The sequence below is a fragment of the Homo sapiens genome, chromosome 7 (genome assembly GCF_000001405.40).
Source record: "Homo sapiens chromosome 7, GRCh38.p14 Primary Assembly".
NCBI classification, from domain to species: Eukaryota; Metazoa; Chordata; class Mammalia; order Primates; family Hominidae; genus Homo; species Homo sapiens.
The window spans coordinates 27,985,497-28,005,515 of record NC_000007.14 but is presented as its reverse complement, the minus strand read 5'-3'; the positions used below and the strand labels follow the sequence as shown (position 1 = coordinate 28,005,515).

The 20,019-nt window shown below is 41.2% G+C and overlaps 1 protein-coding gene across 5 annotated transcripts in view, besides 1 other annotated feature; it reads left to right on the top strand.

Moving 5' to 3' along the window:
• JAZF1 (JAZF zinc finger 1) overlaps window positions 1–20,019 on the top strand; it is a 350,219-nt gene that overhangs the window by 175,280 nt on the left and 154,920 nt on the right. For all 5 annotated transcript variants that reach the window (NM_175061.4, XM_047420026.1, XM_047420025.1 and 2 more), the window contains exon 2: window positions 13,535–13,607. In NM_175061.4, coding sequence (NP_778231.2) covers window positions 13,535–13,607 — 73 coding nt within the window. The remainder of the gene's footprint in view (window positions 1–13,534; window positions 13,608–20,019) is intronic.
• Window positions 17,295–17,854: an enhancer, noted in NCBI's record as "OCT4-NANOG-H3K27ac hESC enhancer chr7:28027281-28027840 (GRCh37/hg19 assembly coordinates)". NCBI's record gives its function as "activates a minimal SCP1, AML or CMV promoter by ChIP-STARR-seq in naive H9 embryonic stem cells {active_cell/tissue: H9 hESC(naive)}" and the evidence as "EXISTENCE:reporter gene assay evidence [ECO:0000049][PMID:30033119]".

Here is a 20,019-nt window from a genome sequence, read left to right as displayed (position 1 = left end):
ACCTATGTGCACTTACATTTGATAACTCTTAGGCAGGGCCATCCAGTCAGTCTGTGTCCAGATGTTCAGCTCTTTCTCCTGTGACTTTTTTTTTTTTTTTTAAGCAATGATTCGGCTTCCCTGGGAGATAGGAAGTAACGAAGGCAATTCCTTTTGTCAAATCCTTGACAAAACTGGCTTCCGAAATACAAAACTAATATACTTGGATACAGCCTGATTTGTTACCAAGGTGAATAATGACAGCACAGGAAAACCACAGTGGTTCTGGCCAATCTGACTTACAGAAAATTCTGAACCACAGAACAACTAAAGTGATGTGGTCTTATTAATTGTAGGCACATACTGTGAAGAAAAATAAATGGTTCCCAGTCAAAGGTCTTGTCAGAACACCCTTACTGAATAGATGAAAACCATATCACAATTCAAAGATTGTGATTTGGTTTTCGAAATACATGAAAACACTAACTTGTCTACATAATTACTAAGCTTAATACTTTCTGTATAGAAAGTGAAAGGGGTGGAAATAAACCTGAGTCCCAAGTGAAGTCAAAATTTAATGATTTCAGGTAGGTCTTGTGGTTCACGCCGTAATCCCAGCACTTTGGGAGGCTGAGGTGGGCAAATCACTTGAAGTCAGGAGTTCGAGACCAGCCTGGCCAACATGGCGAAACCCCATCTCTACTAAAAATACAAAAATTAGCTAGGTGTGGTGGTGCACACCTGTAATCCCAGCTACTTGGGAGACCAAGGCACGAGAATCACTTGAACCCAAGAGGCGGAGGTTGCAGTAAGCTGAGATCATGCCACTGCATTCCAGCCTGAGGGACAGAGCAAGACTTCATCTCAGAAAAGAAAAAAAAAAATTATTTCACTGGATGTCGGACTTATACAACTTTTAAATCACTTCCAGTAGTTCCTTTCCAGTTTCACAATTGCCTTTTTAGTTTGGAAGGGTGGGAGAGATGCAAATTGGTGTAAATAACTTTCCCAACCAGTTCTCTATCCCTTTTCCAGTTTCTGAGCCTTCTCAGAGTCTGTAATAGTAATTGCCAACCCTGACTGCATATTAGAATCTTTGGGGATGGGTCCTTGGCATCAGACTTTTTTTTTTTTTAAGTTACCCAGGTGATAATAATGGGCAGTTCTGGCTAGAAACCATTGGCCCTCTAGGCTCTTGTTGATTTAGAAATGGCTGAAACCACAGGAGACAAACTCACAGATGGGATCATAGGCGTCAGGTATTAAGCCTGTAGCATGGGTGTTTCTTCTTAGCTTGGGAACACCTACTCCAACTGGCTCATCAGGTACCCCCCCTTTCTGGTTATCCCTGCCATTTCTCTAAAGTCCAGGTACTTAAATCACAAAACATGCAAATAGTGATTCTTACACTTTATTAGAAAAGCTGATACTTCTACACTAGATTATTCTTAGATCAATATAAGTCACATCCTCTATAGTCCAGTCTGCTTGAGAGCTGAGACCTTTTTGTATGTGTGTTGGCAGGGGTGGGTAGGGGCAGGCAGGAGGACCTTCAATGCCTAGCACCCAATACTTGACGTATATATTTGGCCATCTGTAAATATCCATTATTGATTATTTTCATCTTATTTTGTGTTTTCCTGATTGGGCTTACTTCTTTATAGACTTCTTTTCCTTCTAGACTCCCAGCTTGTCCTAAATTTATATTTGAGTCAAGGGAAAGGGAGGAAAATTTCTTTCAGTGCAGATAGGAGAGATGTCACGGTGCATGTAGGTTTCAGGTAAATGTGATGCATGATGTCAGAGCTGCCCTTTAAAGAAAAAAAAATTTTGGCAGGTGGAGGTGGGATAGGTTATAGGAAATGGAGAGGAACAAATGGGAACAGATCTGCATTAATAAATATTCAGACTGAGCCCCACTCCTATGTCAGTGTTTGTAGGTGGTGTTATTACATGTAGTATTGGGTGATGGAAGTTGTGCGCACACTCATTTTTCACTTTAATTGCCTGCCTGAAAAGATCCTGACAGCTTCAAAGGTTACTGTTGGTTGTATTGTTCATAACTCAGAAGTAATATGCATGTGCAATTTGCTTCATTATTGCCCACTAATAACTAATTCTGGAGAAAGTCTTAAAACGACCAAAAGAGCCATAATTTGACATGATGATTTTTTCCTCCTCTTTCTCCCAGTCTTTAACCATTCCTGTTTAGAGTTAGCCACAGAGGCTGTGGTGATTCAGGTGTGATTTTACTCTGATTTTCTTTCCCTGCACTTAGTATGATACATTTTTAAAGAGGTTTTTTTTTTCTTTTAAATCCAAGAAAATAAAATGAAACATGAAATATTTCATGTTTCAGATGAGAGTTTTAGGTCCAACAAAATAAACCAGAATTCCGGTTGTTTTGTATTTCAGTCAAGTTTTGGTTTGACTTCATGTAATTGAAAAACCTTCAAATATATGGCTTAATTGGAAGATAAGTTTATTTCTTTCACTTTAAAGAAGGCTGGAGGTGCTCAGTTCAAGAGTAGTATAGAGCTTCACCCAATCAGGGATCCAGACTCCTACTGTGTTGCTTCACCATGTATGACTTCCATTCACAAGATTATCTCATACCCAGAATTTCTTTCAGGCAGCCTGAAAGAAATCTACCATATTAAGGAGGCTTCCTGAAGCCTTATCCTGTTGGCCAAGACTTAGTCACATGAATGCACCTGGCTCAAGGAATGCTGGGAAGTGTGGTTTTTATACCAGGAAGCCATGTTTCTAAGCATTATGGAGGGAAAGGGGGGAAAATAGCTCTTGGGCAGCAGCCAGCAGTCCCAGCCACACTTAAGTGAGTGATGAATTCTTAGATTTTCTATGTACCATTATGCCACATAAAATGGAAATAATCCAGAACAATGCAAGTTTTAGTTTCAAAACGCCTTATGGACTAAAGAACTGAGCAGTAGTTACACTTAACATGCTTGCTAATTTAATCCACATTTCAACCCTAGGGTGAAAGGACTATCCTTATCAACTTCTTGTGGATGAAAAAAACTGAGGCTTAAAGAAGTTAGACAGCTAGGATTGAATTGAGGCAGTTTGACTTGTATGCAACAACAAATGTGCCAATAAGAGGTCGATTGTCATAGTAAGCCTTGGAGACTCGGGTACCAGATCAAAACTGAACTCAGGGCCAATTTTTATTCTATTCTTTTTTCCCCCCCGTCTTTCATAGTCATCTTTTGGGAAATTTACCATTCAGTTGGTTTCAAATGCAGCACAACCTCTGGCTTTTAAAAAATCCCTGCTGGAATTCCACTGGGCCTAGTAGGTTCTCAGCCAGTATTTGGCCAAGTTATATGATAAGCAAGTTTTTAATCAGGGTAGTTGGGGTTTTATGGAATATGATTGTTTTGTTTTGAGAGACATGCTTTGGTTCAGTTGTCTGTTGGAATGTGTGGTGTTATGATGGGATTCTTCAGCACTTCACTTCCTATCTATACCATGAGTCTTTTATCTCCCCTTTGAGTTCCAGACTTCTTGGTTCTGCAGAATATCTTACCACATGTCAGAAGCAGACCTCATATTCTTGTCTATCAAACTCCTTTTCACCTTCTAGTTACTTCTTTGTTTTTGTAATGAAATACTCAGATCTATAACATAAGAAAAGTCTTCTATTTCCAGTTCTTTTTCATCGAATCTTATATTTCTACATCCCAGTTTCCCGCCCCCGCCCAGTCCTCCCTGCCACCACTGGTTATTTTTCTAAAACATGGGCCATACCAGTTTATACCTTCAGTGCTCTGCATCGTCTGCAGAACTAAGTTTGAACTCTTGGAAAGCATTGCAAGCCTTTTGTGATGTGACCCAATCTGCATTTCAGGTCTCTTGCCAAGTTCCAGCCCCACTGACTTCTTGCCACCCCCTGCTCCTTTCTATTAAATACTTCTGTTTATCTGCTCAAACTGTCTTCTATTCAGACTCATCATTTTCTCATCTTTTCTGAATGTAGATTTAGTTCAAGGCTTATGTAAATTTTTCTTTCAAGAAGTTCCTCTCAGTTGCACAGAGAGTCATGTTTTGTTTCTAGAGTAGTAAGTATATTCCTCTATATTGACAAACATTGTAGTCTGTCTTAGATTATTGGTTTTTTTTGTTTAGGTTTTTTGTTTTGTTTTGTTTTGTTTTGTTTTTTTTGAGACAGGGTCTCACTCTGTCACCCAGGCTGGAGTGCAGTGGCACGTTCTCGGCTGACTGCAACCTCTATCTCCCGTGTTCAAACGATTCTCATATCTCAGCCTCACATGTAGCTGGGATTACAGGCACGCCACCATGCCTGGCTAATTTTTGTATTTTTATTAGAAGTAGAGTATTGTCAGGTTGCCCAGGCTGGTCTCGAACTCCTGACTTCAAGTGATTTGCCTGCCTTGGCCTCCCAAAGTGCTAGGATTACAGACATGAGCCACTGCGCCCGGCCAGATTATTGTTAACTGTGAATTCTGTTCATCTTTTTCGCTCAATTGTGAACCTACTGACTTAAAGTTTCCCCTAAGCAACTAAACATGGCAAGAATTCAATGTCTTTTTTAAATGAATTCAATTTATTTGTCTCCATTAAGAAAATAAGAACTGGCTAGGCGCTGTGGCTCATGCCTGTAATTCCAGCACTTTGGGAGGCCAAGGCCAGTGGATTGCTTGAGCCCAGGAGTTCGAGAACACTCTGGCCAACATGGTGAAACCCCATCTCTACTAAAAACACAAAAATTAGTCAGGTGTGGTGGCGGATGCCTGTAATCCCAGCTACTCAGGAGGCTGAGGCATGAGAATCGATTGAACGTGGGAGGCAGAGGTTGCAGTGAGCTGAGATCCCACTACTCCATCCTGGGTGATAGAGTGAGACTCTTGTCTCAAAAAAAAAAAAAAAAAAGAAAGAAAGAAAGAAAGAAAGAAAAAGAAAATAGGAGCACTTATCTAGGTCCAAACAGCCTCTGTGTTGTTCTTCTCTTGTTGTCTCCTCACCAGCCTTCTGGCTTCTTGATTTAGACTGCAGAAAACAACAAATTATCACCTAGAAGCAATCTAGGAGCAATAGCTCTGTTTCTCATAATATTCGTGTAGTTTTAAAGCAGGGTTTCTCAACTTTGACATTATTGACATTTTAGACCAGATGACTCTTTGTTGTAGGCGCTACTCTGCGTGCGTATGTAGGGTGTTCAGCAGCATCCCTGCCCTCTACCCCCTAGATACTATACTGGAACCCTCCCTCCAGTTGTTAGCAGACTTTGCCAAATATCCCAGGGTGTGGATGGGGGGTCGGGGGGGTGCTGCAAAATTGCCTGCAGTTCAGAACCACTCTTCTGAAGTATCTCTAAAAAGTGTCTCTATAAATATTCTACAACTAATACTAATACTGCAACTAATACTCTTCAACTCACTGCTTTTCTACAGTATCCACAGACCTCTCCCCTATGCTGTTCTTAGGTTTCCCGCCCTCACCTGTGAATGATTCGCTACGCTCACTCCCTTCAAAACCTGGCTCAGTTCCCATTCATCAGTAAAGCCTGCCCAGATTAGCCCTGTCTGCCCTCTGTCCCTTATTATTGTGAATTGTACATCATTTTATAGCCCTCTGAACATCTGTGCTTGGTGGGATGTATTTTGATGGAAGTATATATCCTGGTAAAGTCATTTACCATGGGCCTGTTTTCCCCTCCTGTTTGCCTGACTCTCCAAGGCAGAGCTGTCTGAGCTGAATGCTTTTGTATCCTCTGTGGTACTGCATGTCCAGGGCATTCATTCATGTATTCATCATATATCATCATGGACACTGATTATTTACAGAACACTGGGCTTAGGATTTGTGGCCTCTAAGATCTGGTTCCTTAAGGAGCTTCCATTTTAATGGGCTGATAAGACATATTTGCAAATATATATGGTACAATGCATGCTGAAAGTACTATATGGGCCAAAGCCTTGGAAGATGGGTAGGATTTCCTTGGGCAAACAATGTTAGGCAGAAGGAGGGAAAGGTTTCCTTTCCATAAACAGGTTTTTGCCTTCCAGCCTTCAGAGATGAATTCGAGAGCCTCATGTTCCTGCCTTTTCTTTTGTCACTAAGCCTCACTCACAAGCAGCTGTCTTCTCTTCCAGATACCTTCTCATAGGCTCTTCTCATGAGCAGGGGAGGTATACCAGCTTCTTTGTGATCTTTTGTGTTGCATGCTGCTTGGATCTGTCATCAGGTTCATTTCTGGAGAAAGCAGGCATGTATATTTATTTGTGTGTGCACACAAATTAACTTGGTCCCAGGATTAAATGGGACCAAGTTTTGGCCTTACTCCAGTTTGAAAGAATTTTATTGTTGTTTAATCTCAGCACCCCAGTTTCCAGGGCTGCTGTATACAGATATGCAGGCTGTATACTTCACAAGCATATCTTGCAGCCATTATGGTTTCTGGCAGGCTCTTTTCTCACAAGTAACAAGGCGAGAGCTTGGGTGGACAAAGCACACCCCATCACCACTGAAGAGTGTGAACTGGTAGTGTCATTTTCATAGAAGGACTATACATCTTATACTTGGGGAAAAATTCAAGCAGTCATTGATGATTCTACAAGCTGGATAGATTGGTAAAGTTGGGAAGTATCCTAGTCAGAATTATTTTTGATCATTTTAACCCTCTGGTCTGCCAGGAATAGGGAAGGTTGCAGCAGCCGGCTGATCTAGGCTATGGAACATTGTCCAAACAGTTCTTGGTTGAATAATGTTTATTCATTCACTTGTGGCAGGAAAACTCAGGCTACAAATGTGAATATGAATGCTTGTTTTAATAGATGGTGTTATTGTGCTGCACAGTGTCCCTGACTTTTAGATATTTAACTCATAAAGTTTACAGCAACACTTAACCGCATCTGGATTTCACATTGAATTTGGGAAACCAAGAATCTCACTGAAATTTGCACTGACTTCCCTGTAATGGAAATTATGGCTTGGGAAAAGTTTCAAATGACATGTCTATAAACTAAGGAAAAGTTGATCCATTCAAAGGCTGGTTATGTGCAATTGTACAATTTTTTTTTTAAAGGGCCGTTGCCAACAAGCATTATTTGTTTCAGCAGCTGAAGTAAACTAGCCATGAATTAAAAGTTGGTCTTTGTAAATTGTTGATGCAACAAATTCAGTCTTCAAAGTGGGGTAAAAGTTGCAGCCGACAGAACTATGGGGCTTTTAAGAAAGTATAAAAAAGATTATCTATACAGAGTCCAGTGTTAGAACTGGATAGTAACAATGAAATGTCTTTAGAGGATAAGCAGCATTTTTAATAGTCCAAATGCTGGCCCAATAAGACTCAGGACGCAGGGCTTCTGGTCCTAGCCCTGCCAGTACCAGGTTTGTGTAAGTAAACATGTCACTTAACTTCCCAGGCCTTGATGTGTTTGTTACTTTGCTCATGTCTGCCTGCCTGCCTGCCTGCCTGCCTTCCTTCCTTCCTTCCTTCCTTCCTTCCTTCCTTCCTTCCTTCCTTCTTCCCCCCATTCCTCTCTTCCTCCCTTCCTTTTTTCTGTCCTGCCCTCCCCATTTGTTTGTTCTGGTTTCTCTCATTCACGTTTAAGACTTTTCCTCCAATGTCTAGAGACAATTTCTTGACTGTTCTTGGTTCATATTTAAAGCTAAGGCAGGCTGAGCTCATTGGCTCACAACTGTAATCCCAGCACTTTGGGAGGCCGAGGCAAGAGGATTGCTTGAGGCCAGGAGTTCAAGACCAGCCTAGGCAACATAGCAAGACCCCAACTCTAAAAAAAAAAAAAGTAGAAATATTGCTCAGCTATGGTGGTGCACACCTGCAGTCCTATCTGCTCAGGAGGATGAGGCAGGAGGATATCTTGAGCCCAGAGTTTGAGGCTGCAGTGAGCTATGGTCTGATTCCACCATTGCACTCCAGCTGAGCAATAGAGCAAGACTTTGACTCTTAAGAAAATATATCACAGCAATAAAAAGCTGCTAGGAGGCTCTGGATGGAAGCATGGATGGAGCTTGTTGACCATGCACTTAACTGTAGGGAGATTGTTTAATTAGGGAATCACCAGATGTTGGCATTGGCAGTCTTTTCTCCACACCCACTTAACTGAATCAGAGAAGAATCCTCCTGACTGGTTACCATTGTTATTGGGAGCAGTGGAGTTGGCATATTTCCATTTTAACTCCCCTATTTTCTCAGCCCTGCGCTCTCCCCTCTCCTCCCTCCACTATTGTTGGTGTCTTGCTTTAGTGTCCCTGGATAATCAACCTTTTAAACAACCCCCCTATTTTCAGGCCTGAACCTTCCCTCACTTGCCTTTTGCCATACCTGACACCTCTAAGTCTGGGGCCTATCAGGGTTTCTGCAGGGTCTTCAGATCCTGGCTGTGGGTCTCCCCCACTGCAGGTACTTGAGACTGTATCTACTCTAGGTCTTTGTCTACTCCTGTATGGGTTTTCCATTTTCCAAAACACTGGTTCAAATAACTTATTTCCTGATGCCTCTGCTGCCATTCTTCTATCCTTGGTTAGTTTTTTATTCATTCATTTCTATTTTAGTGGGGCTTTGGATGGTGAAGGAAACAAATACCCTTGATGAAGCTGCTACCTGTAAGCAAAAGCCTTCAATTTTCTCATTATAAAAATAATAGATCAGTGTATTCATTCAGCAATTACTTTGCATCTCTTACATGCAGGGCACTGAGCTGAGTGCCAGAGAAATGAAAGAAGTTGAGACAAGTTCTTCACCTCTGAAAAGTGTGCAAAGAAGAGAGGATATGCCTTGATAACACCCCTCCAGGGGCATAATTGCAGTGCTAGCACTAGGAACACAGTGGTGCAGAGTGAGGAAGAGGAGGATGCAGCAAACTCCACACGGAATGTTGTGGAAGGCTGTGCTGAACAAAGTCTACAACTCTGTGGCTTCACAAGTTCTATAGCTGGGGGAAGGCCAAGAACAGACAGCACCCATTAGTTGTTGCTGATTCCCAAGAAAAGTGTCGTATCCAGCCCAGATCTTCAAAATTACTCATCTGGCTGGGTGGGCATTTGCCTTCCCAGGGTCTTCCAACACTGCAAATCCCCTACTACCTTCCCACCCACATCCTCTCAGGCCTCCCACTGTTGCTGTACACAGTTAAAAAAGAACCTGGTGTTTGGAGGATATCGAATTTGAACAAGTTCTCAAACGGCGTGATATCACATCTTCCCCACACTGCTACCTCCCAGCCTGCGAATAGCACATTGCCCTTAGAGGCCTCCCTAGTTTTGTTGAGACATTGTGCGGCTGGTTTCTGACTTTCTTACATTATAAGTAATCCAGGTTATAAAATGTAGACCAGCTAAAGCATAGCCAAAGCCCAAGAGCTCGTTAATTAGCCTCACCTGACCAGGCAAATAACCCTGATAGAGTTTTCGTTTAGACTTGACAAGAGCACTGCAAAAGGCAATTCTTCAGAACCGTGGCAATCCTGATGCTTGATGGCCATTGGTTCCAGTGCTGGAGACAACAAAGAGGATCAACGTGGGCTTCACAGAGACAATAAGGTGGTCTGTGGTGTTTGCCTTTCCTTGGTCACGTTGCAGTTCCAGTTCCTACTGAGAAAGGTCTGAATGCTGTCCTTTCCTTATTTCTGCTATCTGCCTTGCTGTTTCCTTGCCACTTGAGAAGCAATGGGAGCTAGTGCTGTGACCCCCAGCCCTTCGCAATGTAATTGAGTCTGTAAAACCATAAGTTACTAGGACCACAGGAGCTACAGAAAGCTTTCAATTTGTACCTGTGTCTAGTGTTACATAGCCAAGTCCTTATAATAGAGCTGTGCATTCAGAATCTCATCCCCTGAAATAAAGATAGACACATTGCCATCTAATGTCAAGAATGCTATGTTTTAGAAACTTTGAAGTAAGCTAGTGTAGGTATTTATCACTTGGGTATTTTAAAATATATTTTAATATGTGAATTATTTTATCCTCCAGTCAACCTGAAATCTGTGAGTATGCAAGGGACTGTGCAAGGAGTAGTCTAGGGCGGAAAACAGTGTCATAATCTCTGTCGGTGCTGTGTTTGGCCCTACCCTGCCCTGCTAAAAAAAAGTTGAAGTTTTGAGTTTATCTTCCTGTCACTTCTTAGTGATATGAAAGTGGTCGAATGTTGTTATGTGGCTGTTGACAGCAATGTTATAGAAATGCTTACTCTCTTGCCAAATTGCAAGCTTAAGGAGCCTCATGTGGCTATGAAAAAACCAAGTGCTTTTATTCCATAGACCATTTGCTGAGGTGGATTGTATCTCTGGGCAATTGTAGCCAATGTTCTAGTTCCAGATTTTTATCGGCACCATAAATGTGTGCCATGGCCATCTCATTTCATATTATATTCCTTAGTGTAGCGATTTATCATGTTCAAAAAATATCTGAACAATGTGGCATGGTATAAGGAAATTCTTCCTGTTGGATTTAGTAATGTCTAATGAATAGTGTTACTCTTTCCAGTTTGTTCTGATTGTATCCTTTCTGCCCTCATATAATCCTCATGAGGAGTATGTCATTGTGCAGGATGTGGGGATCTGTCCTGCTCTGAAAATCATACTCTCTTGTCTCTCTCCTCCTATCCTGTGGAGAGTTTTTAGCATCAGACAGTTACATTTCTGTCAGGGAGGGAGAAATACTGAAGGCAGCTATTACACTTTTACTGAATGTGAAGTGCTCAACAGCATAATTAAATCCATAAAATGGTGAGTCATAATCCCCACACACCAGCCCGCCAGGAAGCAAGTGACAGAACCAACATTTATTTGTGACCAGCAGCTGATTTGACTCCTCCGGTAGCACTGGTGCAGGCCTCTCCTGATTTGTGGGCACCAAGTGCCTAATTTCATTTTAAGATTTCAGCACTTTAATGGATATTCTAAAGGTTGCCCAAGGAAACATTTGTTTGAAAAGGAGATTTGGGGACCTGGTGGATGTCTGTCCAGAAGTTCTGCTGTCTTGTTGGTTACCAGAGTACATTCTAGAAAAAGTAGAATCCTACCTGAGGTGCTTCCAAATGGTTTTTTGTGTGTGTGTGTTTTTTTTTGTTTTTTGTTTTTTTTTTTTTGTGATGGAGAGGGTGGTGTTTGGAAGCTTCCAGAAGTCTGTTTCCCACTTAACAATTTGAGGATATGTGAGCCTAAGTCTAGAATAGGTTATGAAAGATGATGAAGCAAATTAAGAAAACAAAACTTTAAAACCTTGCTTTGCAAATAAAGTGCTAAACATTCTTGATTTTTTGTAAATCAAGATTACAAGATGCAGTTTGTGTGATCAGCAGGAGCTGATGCCATTTATTTGAGCAACAAAATTGTAGACATTTGTATAAGATACTTCCTTCCCATTTCCCAAAGAGATTCTAGAGCTTGAAGAAGGAAAAGGATAATATAAATGTATCTTTGTACACATACACACGGGAAAAAATAAAAATCAAGGTAGTCTGGAGAGGTAATATTTAGAACATTTTAGAAATTATATAATTTGAGAAAAAAAGAAATCTTTAGAAGATGGTTTGTGGGAATATTGTTAGGTTGGGGAATGTCAGTTACAGGAATGAAGACAAGCAAATGATTATAAAAATGTTTATGGGCCTCTTTTCCCCTTTACACACAAATTTTAGACTCCTAACGGTGCCCTTTTCTTTCAAAATAATACACCTTATTAAATCATGCACCAGATATCTCTTTGAGTCTCAAAAGCAAAGCCCTTTGATCGTCAGTACCTAAACTTGAGGTGAAACCATTTTGTGAGCACTTGAGAAATTTTCTACATTGCCCTGTTCTTTCTTACCTTCCTCCTTTCTTTTCATTTTCATGATTTTTATCTCTAATTTCTTGTTTCTTACCTCGTTAAGCACCTAGAAAGACCCTGTAGGATTAGCATGTCAGTCACCATTTGCACAAATGGCCCACCCAGCATACCAATGTGCCATTTCTTTGGACAAAACACCTTTCCTTGTTGAACATTGTTCTACTGTCTCCTCCAGCAAGTATCTTTCTCTCAGAAGCATGGATATATGTTGGGATTACAGCAAATTTAAATGAGTGTGAGTAAGAGTTACGTTTGAAAACTGCGTTTCCCCGTGAAGAGTGGTTTTTTTGTTATTTAGAGAACCACTCCTTTTATCCCTAGGCCAGAGATCGAGGAATAGCCTCAGTTGCATGTGTACTGAGGAAGCGCAGAGCTACTGATCTGTTCTCATTTGCAGTGCCAAAACCTTCAGACCCGACTTGATGGAGCCATTCAGAGAATCTTTGTCTCTTGTTTCAGAATTTGGCTTTCAAGGACCTGCAGTGGCAAAGACCCAGGAGGCAGGATTTCTGAATAGTGTGTCCCTGAAATTCTTGGCATAGAAAAAACAATAAAGTGAACATGAGATTCTTAATTTTAACACCACGAATAAAACTGATACTACTGTCCAGTTTTAATCTGGGAGTTAAAAGCATTGTAAATTGATTTTTATGCTGTCATTGTTGCCACCCGTGTTCTCTGCCACTGTATCTGCTTCCCTCCCCCCATCACCTGTTAATGCACTTTGGAGTTAGTGGACATAGCTTACATCTACCATGTGCAGTAAACACTTCCTGTGCAAAGGTGCTGGAAACAACATCTGTCATTACATCAAAGAAGGGGTTACTGCCAAGTGCACCTGGAAGGTTTCTAATAATGAGATAGTTTGAAGTGAGTTTATAATGAAAAGAAATCTGTGTGAAATCTATGAACCTTTTTCTAAGAAAATTAAAATTGTGTGCTCATTTTCTTCCTTATATGTCCTTATTACATAAACATTGTTTATACATATATTTATACAGTCATTTCTCTATGTGAGAAGTTTGAGAATACATTTCTGGCTATGAAAAAAGTACCTTTTTGGTGCTGTGCTGGAGAAGCACCATTATAAAGCGTTGCTATGGTGTTGAATTCTGTCTCTTTGAGGGGAAAAGTCCTCTGGTGAATGTAGTGTTTGTTGACTCTGAACCAGTATGAGAATTTCTGATTGAGAGTCTAGAAAAGTTATAATAAACTCATTATACATTTTAAAAAGAGAAGAACTGCCCTTCAGAATATGAATCCAAATGCAGAAAAGTGTTCCGTGAACAAGAACAATACTCAGTAGGTTTTCAAATTGATGGAGCTTTCCAATGGAAACTAATTTGTTCCAGCATTGAAGTGAGCATAATTAACAGAGACTTTCTTTCTTAGGCCGATGAACCACCAAAAACCATGCCAACATTGTAACTGTAAGCAGTGAAAACCAATATTTATAAGGGGGATTGTGCAAGAGTTTGTGTGACAGATGGACATTTTATCACTGTTGATGTTTGGAATTCCCTTGAAAAGTAATGCAATATCTTGTTATTTATGAATGAATGAACAAATGATTGTGCTTCGCCGACTCAGTTTTCTTTAAAAAGTGGTGTACTAAATTAATCTTTTTCTCTGCTTAGCCTCTGTTACTTTGTGTTAGGTAGCCTCATATATTCTGATGCAAAATCTAAAAAAAATCGTAATTGTGTTTTTATTACAGATACAGATCCACGGGTTTTAGAAAAACAAGAATTACAGCAGCCAACCTATGTTGCCCTGAGTTACATAAATAGGTAAGCCATTTTCAGAATTTATTATAACAACCTTATATCTGCTGCTTATTGACTTTTTAAACACATCTTTTTTAACAGAGTGGAAAAATGTTTTCAGTCTTAAAATATTTGCATGAAACTATTTAAAAGCAACCTGTATATGGAATGCTCTTGTTTCTTTGTTAGGGAGAAGTTGAATTGTAATGCTCTGTGCATATGCTGCAAACATGACTGATTTATAAGCTCATTTTGGAAGTACTTTATATGCAGAGTTAGAATATGCTCTTTTGACTTCATAGGGCAGTTTGGGAGATTAATGGATTTATGTTCGAGTGAACCTTTTAAATCCTGAGGTGAAGAAGTACTTTATGAATTCAAAACATTGTTGTAATATCAGAATATAATAAATTGAAATAATTTAATATCAGAAAGTTATTTAGAAGCAGCTCATCTTTTAGTAAAAACATTCTCAACAACTGACCCCAGCTGTAGAGTAACTTGAGTTTTTACTTAAACTGAACATGTGAGCCCAACTTCAGAGCACCATTTCAAACTTGATATATCAGGTCTAAAAGAGGACTTAGTGTTTCAGCCAACTCAAATAATTAGGGAGACAGTAATATTTGGAGAGAAACTGAAATCAACTTAGGTTAAGAAAACACACAGTCCCAAAGCAAAAAAGACAAAGTAAAAGCAAAACTAGTTTTTAATGAGAATGAGAAACTCTCTGCTCATAATTCAGGGAATGAATTTCTATTGATAGGTCTTTTTATAGAAGGTGAGGAGTGTTTTTAGTCTCTTGGTACCAGAGTTGAGGTTCAGGGTCTGAAGTGGAAAGCTGGGAATGAATTACCTGTACTGTTTCATTTGAGTGCCTTTTTAGAAAACTTAATTGATTCTTGCCCAGATAGTGCTGTGAATTAGAGACACCTGTTGTTCAGTTTCAGGTTCTTCTATGAAACATGTTTTTAAAAGGATTTATTGACATAAACATCTATTTCCATACCTCCCTTGGATTTCTTGCTTATCAGCCTTCCCAAGAAGTGAGATGGAATATCTCCAATTTTTCATTACCAATAATATTTGACATGTGTTAAATAGAACGCCTTCAAAATTACATCAAATGAAAATAAAGACATACACTTTTCTGGGTTTCTTACAGAGCCAGTATTGTTTTCTGTAATTAGCAAGGGTTTTGAAATTTTTAATTATATATTGAAGTTATATGAATTAATATAACTAATAATATTGGCCTACTAATATTGGAGAATAGGATGAACAGGCATATAGATTAATTATGGTATTGAATAGGACTTCTAATAGTGTGGCTGTCACTTTGGGTAAAATATGTCACCTATGTATATACAAATCTGTGTAATACTAAGCCATATTCTAATAAGAATCTATGAAATTTTCACCTTCATTATTTGTATTTATATTGTCAGCCATGTTGGACAGCAGGTACCTACTAATTATATAGGAGTTCCTTTTTTTTTTTTATACTTTAAGTTCTAGGGTACATGTGCACAACGTGCAGGTTTGTTACATATGTATACATGTGCCATGTTGGTGTGCTGCACCCGTTAACTGGTCATTTACATTAGGTGTATCTCCTAATGCTATCCCTCTCACCTCCCCCCACCTCGCGACAGGCTCTGGTGTGTGATGTTCCCCACCCTGTGTCCAAGTGTTCTCATTGTTCAATTCCCACCTATGAGTGAGAACATGCGGTGTTTGGTTTTCTGTCCTTGCAATAGTTTGCTCAGAATGATGGTTTCCAGCTTCATCCATGTCTCTACAAAGGACATGAACTCATCCTTTTTTATGGCTGCATAGTATTCCATGGTGTATATGTGCCACATTTTCTTAATCCAGTCTATCACTGATGGACATTTGGGTTGGTTCCAAGTCTTTGCTATTGTGAATAGTGCCACAATAAACATACATGTGCATGTGTCTTTATAGCAGCATGATTTATAAACCTTTGGGTATATGCCCAGTAATAGGATGGCTGGGTCAAGTGGTATTTCTAGTTCTAGATCCCTGAGGAATCGCCACACTGTCTTCCACAATGGTTGAACTAGTTTACAGTCCCACCAACAGTGTAAAAGTGTTCCTATTTCTCCACATCCTCTCCAGCACCTGTTGTTTCCTGACTTTTTGATGATTGCCATTCTAACTGGTGTGAGATGGTACCTCATTGTGGTTTTGATTTGCATTTCTCTGATGGCCAGTGATGATGAGCATTTTTTCATGTGTCTGTTGGCTGCATAAATGTCTTCTTTTGAGAAGCGTCTGTTCATACACTTTGCCCACTTTTTGATAGGGTTGTTTGATTTTTTTCTTGTAAATTTGTTTAAGTTCTTTGTAGATTCTGGATATTAGCCCTTTGTCAGATGGGTAGATTGTAAAAATTTTCTCCCATTCTGTAGGTTGCCTGTTCACTCTGACGGTAGTTTCTTTTGCTGTGCAGAAGCTCTTTAGTTTAATTAGATCCCATTTTTGACTTTTGTTGCCATTGCTTTTGGTGTTTTAGTCATGAAGTCCTTGTCCATGCCTATGGCCTGAATGCTATTGCCTAGGTTTCTTTCTAGGGTTTTTATGGTTTTAGGTCTAACATTTAAGTCTTTAATCCATCTTGAATTAATTTTTGTATAAGGTATAAGGAAGGGATCCAATTTCAGCTTTCTACATATGGCTAGCCAGTTTTCCCAGCACCATTTATTAAATAGGGAATCCTTTCCCCATTTCTTGTATTTGTCAGGTTTGTCAAAGATCAGATGGTTGTAGATGTGTGGTATTATTTCTGAGGGCTCTGTTCTGTTCCTTTGGTCTACATCTCTGTTTTGGTACCAGTACCATGCTGTTTTGGTTACTGTAGCCTTGTAGTATAGTTTGAAGTCAGGAAGCATGATGCCTCCAGCTTTGTTGTTTTGGCTTAGGATTGACTTGGCAATGCAGGCTCTTTTTTGGTTCCATATGAACTTTTTTTTTTTTTTTTTTTTTTTTACAGAGATTCTTTTTAATTTAAAAAATTTACAACATAAAAGAATTATATTACAATCCCATCATACAACTACTGACATTTTTCTGTTGTTCTTTCCACACTTGAAACATGCGTGTTCCATGTATTTTTATAAAGTTGTAAAAATAGTATGTATGCAATTTTACATTCTACCAGAAATAAAACAGTATAATGAAAATAACAATAGATTCAAACAATGATATGCTATTTTTTTTACCTATGACATTGGCAAGGTCTTTTAAAAAATCACAATAACCGATGTTGGAGAGATCATGGGGAAATAGCCACTCAAATGTCACTCATGAGAGTGTACATATGTGTAACTTCACTTGGAGGGCAATTTGGTGATACATTTAAAAGTTTTGGCCAGGTTTGGTAGTGTACACCTGTATCCCCAGCTACACGGGGAGGCTAAAGCGGGAGGATGGTTTGAGCCCAGGAGTTTGAGGCTGCAGTGAGCTACGATGGCACCACTGCACTTCAGCCTGGGTAATGGGGGGAGACACTGTCTCAAAAAAAAAAAAAAAAATTTACAATTTAACCTAAGGGGGAAAATGTAGAGATGTGGGTACAGATTTGTATAAAGGCTGGTTGTCAAAGCCTTACTTATGCTAAAAAATAGACCTAACCTAAATATCCAACAGGGATTGTTTAAATGAATTATGATTCAACCATCCACAGAGATTAGAATCATGTTCTTTTTTTTTTTTTTCAGTATTTATTGATCATTCTTGGGTGTTTCTCATAGAGGGGGATTTGGCAGGGTCATAGGACAATAGTGGAGGGAAGGTCAGCAGATAAACATGTGAACAAGGGTCTCTGGTTTTCCTAGGCAGAGGACCCTGCAGCCTTCCACAGTGTTTGTGTCCCTGGGTACTTGAGATTAGGGAGTGGTGATGACTCTTAACGAGCATGCTGCCTTCAAGCCTCTGTTTAACAAAGCACATCTTGCACCACCCTTAATCCATTTAACCCTGAGTTGACACAGCACGTGTTTCAGAGAGCATGGGGTTGGGGGTAAGGTTATAGATTAACAGCATCCCAAGGCAGAAGAATTTTTCTTAGTACAGAACAAAATGGAGTCTCCTATGGCTACTTCTTTCTACACAGACACAGTAACAATCTGATCTCTCTTTCTTTTCCCATTTCCCCCTTTTCTATTCAACAAAACCGCCATCGTCATCATGGCCCGTTCTCAATGAGCTGTTGGGTACACCTCCCAGATGGGGTGGCAGCCGGGCAGAGGGGCTCCTCACTTCCCAGATGGGGCAGCCGGGCAGAGGCACCCCCCATCTCCCTCCCGGACGGGGCGGCTGGCCGGGCGGGGGCTGCCCCCCACCTCCCTCCCGGACAGGGCGGCTGGCCGGGCAGGGGCTGCCCCCGACCTCCCGTACTGGGTGGCTGGCCGGGTGGGGGCTGCCCCCAACCTCCTGGACGGGGCGGCTGCCAGGCGGAAATGCTCCTCACTTCCCAGACGGGGCGGCTGCCGGGTGGAGGGGCTCCTCACTTCTCAGACGGGGCGGCCGGGCAGAGACGCTCCTCACCTCCCAGATGGGGTGGCGGTCGGGCAGAGACACTCCTCAGATCCCAGACGGGGTCGCAGCCGGGCAGAGGCACTCCTCACATCCCAGACGGGGCGTCGGGGCAGAGGCGCTCCCCACATCTCAGACGATGGGCGGCCAGGCAGAGACGCTCCTCACCTCCTAGATGGGATGGCGGCCGGGAAGAGGCGCTCCTCACTTCCCAGACTGGGCGGCCAGGCAGAGGGGCTCCTCACATCCCAGACGATGGGTGGCCAGGCAGAGACGCTCCTCACTTCCCAGATGGGGTGGCGGCCGGGCAGAGGCTGCAATCTCAGCACTTTGGGAGGCCAAGGCAGGCGGCTGGGAGGTGGAGGTTGTAGCGAGCCGAGATCACGCCACTGCACTCCAGCCTGGGCAAGATTGAGCACTGAGTGATCGAGACTCCGTCTGCAATCCTGGCACCTCGGGAGGCCCAGGCGGGCAGATCACTCACAGTCAGGAGCTGGAGACCAGCCCGGCCAACACGGCGAAACCCCGTCTCCACCAAAAAATACAAAAACCAGTCAGGCATGGCAGCGCGCGCCTGCAATCCCAGGCACTGGGCAGGCTGAGGCAGGAGAATCAGGCAGGGAGGTTGCAGTGAGCCGAGATGGCAGCAGTACAGTCCAGCCTCAGCTCGGCATCAGAGGGAGACCGTGGAAAGTGGGAGACAGAGAGGGAGAGGGAGGGAGAGGGGGAGGGGGAGGGAGAGCCCATATGAACTTCAAAGTAGTTTTTTCCAATTCTGTGAAGAAAGTCATTGGTAGCTTGATGAGGATGGCATTGAATCTATAAATTACCTTGGGCAGTATGGCCATTTTCACAATATTGATTCTTCCTATCCATGAGCATGGAATGTTCTTCCATTTGTTTGTGTCCTCTTTTATTTCATTGAGCAGTGGTTTGTAGTTCTCCTTGAAGAGGTCCTTCACATCCCTTGTAAGTTGTATTCCTAGGTATTTTATTCTCTTTGAAGCAATTGTGAATGGGAGTTCACTCATGATTTGGCTCTCTGTCTGTCTGTTATTGGTGTATAGGAATGCTTGTGATTTTTGCACATTGATTTTGTATCCTGAGACTTCGCTGAAGTTGCTTATCAGCTTAAGGAGATTTTGGGCTGAGACGATGGGGTTTTCTAAATATACAATCATGTCATCTGCAAACAGGGACAATTTGACATCCTCTTTTCCTAATTGAATACCCTTTATTTCTTTCTCTTGCCTGATTGCCCTGGCCAGAGCTTCCAACACTATGTTGAATAGGAGTGGTGAGAGAGGACATCCCTGTCTTGTGCCAGTCTTAAAAGGGAATGCTTCCAGTTTTTGCCCATTCAGTATGATATTGGCTGTGGGTTTGTCATAAATAGCTCTTATTATTTTGAGATATGTCAGATATGTCCCATCAATACCTAGTTTATTGAGAGTTTTTAGCATAAAGGGCTGTTGAATTTTGTCAAAGGCCTTTTCTGCTTCTATTGAGATAATCATGTGGTTTTTGTCTTTGGTTCTGTTTATATGATGGATTACGTTTATTGATTTGAGTATGTTGAACCAGCCTTGCATCCCAGGGATGAAGCCAACTTGATGGTGGTGGATAAGCTTTTTGATGTGCTGCTGGATTTGGTTTGCCAGTATTTTATTGAGGATTTTTGCATCGATGTTCATCAGGGATATTGGTCTAAAATTCTCTTTTTTTGTTGTGTCTCTGCCAGGCTTTGATATCAGGATGATGCTGGCCTCATAAAATGAATTAGGGAGGATTCCCTCTTTTTCTATTGATTGGAATAGTTTCAGAAGGAATGGTACCAGCTCCTCTTTGTACCTCTGGTAGAGTTCAGCTGTGAATC